The 6,020-nt window shown below is 35.3% G+C and overlaps 1 annotated feature.

Annotated features, from left to right (window-relative positions):
* Positions 3,304-3,805: an enhancer, noted in NCBI's record as "NANOG hESC enhancer chr9:29251246-29251747 (GRCh37/hg19 assembly coordinates)". NCBI's record gives its function as "activates a minimal SCP1, AML or CMV promoter by ChIP-STARR-seq in naive and primed H9 embryonic stem cells {active_cell/tissue: H9 hESC(naive and primed)}" and the evidence as "EXISTENCE:reporter gene assay evidence [ECO:0000049][PMID:30033119]".

Below are 6,020 nucleotides of genomic sequence, written 5' to 3'. Positions count from 1 at the left end.
TGTTATTATTTTGTTTTATGTATTTATTTTTACAAAATAAGTTATGATTGACCCAGTTTCTGAGTTTCTAAACAAATTATGGGTGATTAAAAACTGGTGATTATTCGCTGAAGATGACAGTGGAATAGGGACTTCAGAGTGGTGATCAATATGACCCCTACTCTAAAGCCAGCTTTCTCACATGATTCTGTATCCCCTTCCTGAACCCTACCTCTTGACTCTAATGCCAGAATATTATTAAGAAAGAAAAAAGCATAAGTAAAGATATGGGGGAAAGTATATATAAAATATGCTTCTCTAAATAGAAAAATGTGACTTGACATTGCCCCAGAATGCATTTAACTTAGCCTCTTTGTAACTGATCTGAATAAGGAGTAACTGATCATATTAGTAGATAGCTGTCTCTTGTCTCTTCTATGAGTAGTGAAATATCTGGTGAAAGTTCTCAAGAGAGTGTGTGAGTAGACAGGAATAGTAGGTGAATTGCAATAGTGATTGTTCAAGGTAATGCATTGGGAGAAAAGTAACTGAAAATTTACTTAGAACAAGATGGCCCTGATTTATCTACTAAAACACAGGAAATAGATTCTAATGCTATGATTTGGCAATGCTCATTGAAGAGCAGGTAGACAGCAGAACCACAGTAATCAGAGGTTGACATGAATTAAAAGCCTACAGCCTCAGCAAATAAACTACCGGAACCAGTTCAGCAATCAGGCAACTGCAATTAACTTTGTAAAGGAGCCAATGAGACCTTTTAAAAAGACACCTCCAAAATTATCGTGATGGCCACAAATCTTGGAGATCTTTCTACACATCCAGCTCCTATGTGAAGATCAGAATATGCCTTATGAATTTGTAGCCTCCAAACAGGCTCTGAGGCAGACCTGTAGCATCTCTGGGAAGATCATAGCATTCTCTGTAACTACCAAAGAAGGAAAGTGACTTGAAGCTGAAAAGCAGATCCATTCTGTCAGCAGTTCATTAAGAGGTTCTTGGTCGAAACCTGTGGTCTATGTGTAGTTTTTCAAATTGACCCTTCCCCATGGAGAATCATGGGTGAGTGTGTGTGTGTGTGTGTGTGTGTGTGTGTGTGTGTGTCCTTAAGCAGTCTTCGGGTTAGCACACAATGTTTTCAGCTAATTATCTTTGTTAGAAATTGCAGTACTAAATCTAGTTCCTTGATTTCTATATTACGTTTTCGTCTCTTCTCCTTCCCTTTTGAAAATGCGTTGGCCACATCCAGAGTCAGAAAAGACCCAGGAGAAGGTGTGCTGAGCCACAGTAGAGAAATTCTCTATCCTTTTATCAGCCAACTCTTATTGGACACCTGTATGCAGGAGTTCACTGTGCACAAGTACAAAAGGACATACTATAGTAATTTTTAGCCCATGTTCTCCGTCTAAAATATCTTTGGACAGTAAACAACCTTATTTTTGTATTCCTTGTCCCTAGCATACCGAGGTATTTTATGAAAGTATATTTTATATTATAATGCATTATTTTATTTTTAACTTTTGTTTTGGATTCAGTGGGTACACTGCAGGTTTGTTACATGAGTATACTGCTTGATGCTGAGGATTGAAGTACAGATGATCTCAACACCCAGGTAATGAGCACAGTACCCCCGAGGTACCTTTTCAGCCTGTGACCCCTTCCCTCTCTCCCCGCTTTAGTAGTCCCCCAGTGTCTGTTGTTCCCATCCTATGTTACTACTGTTCAGATCCCTATGTCCATGTGTACTCAGTGTTTAGCTTCCACTTATATGTGAGAACATGCGGTATTTAGTTTTCTGTTGCTGTGTTAATTGGCTTAGGATAATGGCCTCAAGCTGCATCCATCTTGCTGCAAAAGACATTATTTTTTATGGCTCGTAGTTGAATACATAAATTAATGAAGGGTTCATTTGTTCTCTACGGGATATGTGTCATTTGCGGAGGAGGCATGGGTTCTACCTATAAGCATTTTTTATATATATATTATATATAATATGTGTATATAACATATGTATGTGTATGTATATATGTGATAACTTTATATTTTATTGATAGATTTTATATAGTGATCTATAAATATATGTACTCACATATCCAGTTACTAACAAATATTCTTAATGTTTTTCTATGTTGATGTAATTTCATAGTCTCTACTCACTCTTTACTTCTGAGGATGGTGGCAGACACACAGAACTATCAAGCTGTGAATTTTAGAGGGGACAGGGGCTAGCAAGACACACAAACAGTTGACCAAAGCCTGAAAGGAAGCATGGGACTTAGACAGCAGAGATGGGGCAAAGGCCATTGGATGTCTGTGAAGTGGCACCTGTTGCTGGGATAGAGCACTCTAGGAAAGTCATGAAGAACTAGTTGGAACACTCAGCTGAGGTTATTAAATCTGAGGAAACATCTGGGTGATGATTTTCTTTGGAAGGTATTTTGTGCTAAAAACTTCATCCTTGATTCCTGTGCTAATGTGTCATTCATTTCTGTGAGCAACCTAATAAAAATATATTCATGTTCCAACTTACAAGAGTACTGGAAATATATACATATGTATGTGTATTTTTCCCCAAAATTAGGATTCACTTACACTTAAAATATCATACTAAATTGAGGTAATCAAATCTGTAATGTGACTAACACTTACTGTGAGAATGTTTATCTTCATATTGAATAAAATCTTGCCTACTATCAACTGTCAGCCACTAATTCTTGTTCTGTCCTCTGCTGATACACTGGAAAATATCAACAATTTTTCTACACAACATCTTTTCATCATTTCACAAATATCTACCACATTTATTTTTCATCTCTTCTGTAAACTAACTAAACAAACAATTATTTCACTATGTTGTTTTATTTCTTTCTATGCATTTCAGAATGTTTAGATTTTCCTACACATTTTCATGGGTTCTTCCTAATCCATAAGCAGAATTGAGGATAATGTATAGACTTTCTAATTGGCACATTACATAAAAGAAATTATTCTGAGAGCAGAATCAGGACATTATATTTTTGTTTTGATTTCTTCAAATGTTGGGGCATTGCAGGTTTTATAGTTATGTGGATACTTACTTAGATCTGGCTGCATAAATATTTTAAATCTGTTAATGTTTAGTAGATTTATAATATAAAATTTTAGTCAAGGATTCTTAGAAATTTTTAATTTTGATGAATAACACAACCCCTTATAATTTTATATTATTATCTTTTGGTGTTTACTACTTGGGAACCCAGTAAAATGCTTCCTACAAACTTGTAATGTTATGAACTACAATACATAACTGGTTAGGAAAAAATATGTCAATTTACTCAAAATACTCACATCTGTAGGGCTAAACTGAAATGTTTATATAAATATTTTAAAACAATATGACAATCCAAGAGGATTGGGCTACTGTAAACCACAGGCTTGATTCTTATATGTGAGATATGGGGGAAAGAGAGGCATGGAAGGTTGGGAGAAAAATTCTTCAATGCTCATGCAGTTCTTATAAAGTTTCAGCGAGGCCAGCGGGGAGTCCAGCACTCAAACCCATCTGTTACAGAAATCCTTCATCTCACGGGACTTGCCCTAGTGCTCTCTATACAGAGTTAACGACCCATTGTAGTGGCCTTGGTATAAACAAGGTGGTGAAATCATTGTAGTGGCCTTGGTATAAACAAGGTGGTGAAATCAGTGTACAGCAGCTACGGTCATCAATCAATTATAATCCCCTAAATAGGAGATCTGAGAGGTACATTTTCATGGCCACCAGGTCAAGTCACGTGGACTTTGAATATTTATGTGATGTTCACATTTCAGCTTAAATGGACACATTGGCATTATTAAGTTAATACATAGGAAGAGAATGAGTTGTTCATGCACACTTCAGTATTCTGATTCCTCTTAGGTATATCAACTTTAATTAATCAATCTGGTTTATATGTCATTGAACTTGTTAAATTTGAAACTGCTTTTAAAATTTCATCCTAGCTGTGCTGACAAAATATAGTATCTGCATGTGAAAAGCTAAGCAATAGTTCCTGGGTGATGATTTACCAAGATTGCTATTGATACTCTGTGTTATGAAACAATAGGTATAGAGTATCCCTTAGGAGGACGTTAAACAACACTTTAAGAACAATAAAGCAAATACATTTCCTGATGTAGAAAATTAATAATTAATTATGAGTTATTTAAAGTAAGCACCTTTCAAAGGGAGAAAACGTTCAGAATAAAATGAAAAATAATACAATTTTCTCCATAAAATTAGAGAATAACATTAAATTTTGAAACCGAAATAAAGAAATCATCACTGTAAGATAAGAGATCCTATGAAGCAACTCTTCTTAAGTTTTTTGAATGTGTCACAAGGAATTTATAAATAGCCAGCAGGCAACATGACCAAGGACTCTACTTATTTGTTTCTTACTGAAATGGTCTCAAAAGAAGAATCCAGAAACTTTGTGCTCATAAACATCATAAATTAGGAGACAAAATAACCTAGACAAAAAATGAATATTAAAGAAGTGACAGAATGCTTTATTTGGCTGCTTAGCAAATTGTTAGTTGTGGGGCTCATCTCTGTGACACTGAAGAGACCATCTTATTTTTGTTACAACAGGTTAACTAAGTTTATCTCTGTTATGTGAGTTTTATAACTCATGTAGCTCACCAGTACAGAAAAAAAAAGTCATAAGGCTCTTATGATAAGGTCAATGGCTGTTTTATTTATTATGTACCTAAAGGAGTAAGAAATATTTCTCTGTGATAGTTTTATAATTTGCAATTTCCTAAAAAGGAGTAGGGAGAATTGAAAGGTGTGCTGCTAGTTTTGTGATCATAAGGATGTAAATCAAATAAGGTGGGGTTTTTTTCCACCTTTTAAGAGTTCTTCACAGTTTTCCTTCAGTCATTTTCTGGTCTACCTTATGCTAAAAATTCGTCTTGCAAAAGTCAAAACAGAACTCTTTATTCACTGTACATTTGTTATTGAAGCTATGTTTTTAAGTCTATAAAGATTAATACAGTCTGTCCTTGTTTTATCAACACTGTTGAGAATGACCCAGACATTTGAATGAACCACTATCTTCAGAGATGCTGGTCACCTGGCATTTGGAGACGGCACTGAAGAAGATACCACTAAAGACCAAATATTTTATTCCCATATTACAGATGGTGAAAAACTGCAAAGTTAATAAATTTTCCTAAGGGGATGCAATAAGTTGATGGAGAAACTTAAAACTAAACTCACATGAGACTAGTCATTCTGGTTTCTCTGCTGTGTGTCATAAAAATGCCTTAATATAGATTTCAGAACTCAGCTTTAAGTGCTTGGATTATCAATTCCTCTGCCTTCTTGTATGCATTCTTTAAAAAGAGATACAGTGTCACAGTAATTTAAGTAGAATATTTTATTCATGTTTCACCATGTCTAGTTGTAAGCTCTACTAACTTAGATTTTTCTATTGTGTGACTTATTTTAACTATGTTCAATTGAACATAACTGCTAAAGTTTTGTTTGAATGGTAGTAGCATCAATATCTCATAATGGCTGTAATAAGAATTTTTGTTTGTTTGTTTGTTTGTTTGTGTTTTTTCTGAGACGGAATCTCGCTCTGTCACCCAGGCTGGAGTGCAGTGGCGTGATCTCAGCTCACTGCAAGCTCCGCCTCCCGGGTTCACACCATTCTCCTGCCTCAGCCTCTCCGAGTAGCTGGGATTACAGGCGCCCACCACCATATGAAAATCATTTCATATAAGAGAATTTCAGTTAAATGAGCTTATTTACGTTGATACATCACACAAATAATTGCATTTATGAAGAGAGAAAGTAAGACATTTTCAAGTGGGTTTAACATTTAAAACTTCATTTGATTACCTGTTACTTATGGAGTATACAGTATACTCAATTCACATTCTGTCTAAGTCGGTTTGTCCTCATAAGCTTGGTCAAAGTTTATTTACACCAAATATTTCTGGCTTCTGACTCTGGAAAAAGAGTGGGTGTAAAGAAAGTAGCACAAAGCTCTGTCCGG

The sequence above is a fragment of the Homo sapiens genome, chromosome 9 (genome assembly GCF_000001405.40).
Source record: "Homo sapiens chromosome 9, GRCh38.p14 Primary Assembly".
Taxonomy (NCBI): Eukaryota; Metazoa; Chordata; class Mammalia; order Primates; family Hominidae; genus Homo; species Homo sapiens.
This window is presented reverse-complemented; position numbering and strand designations above follow the sequence as displayed.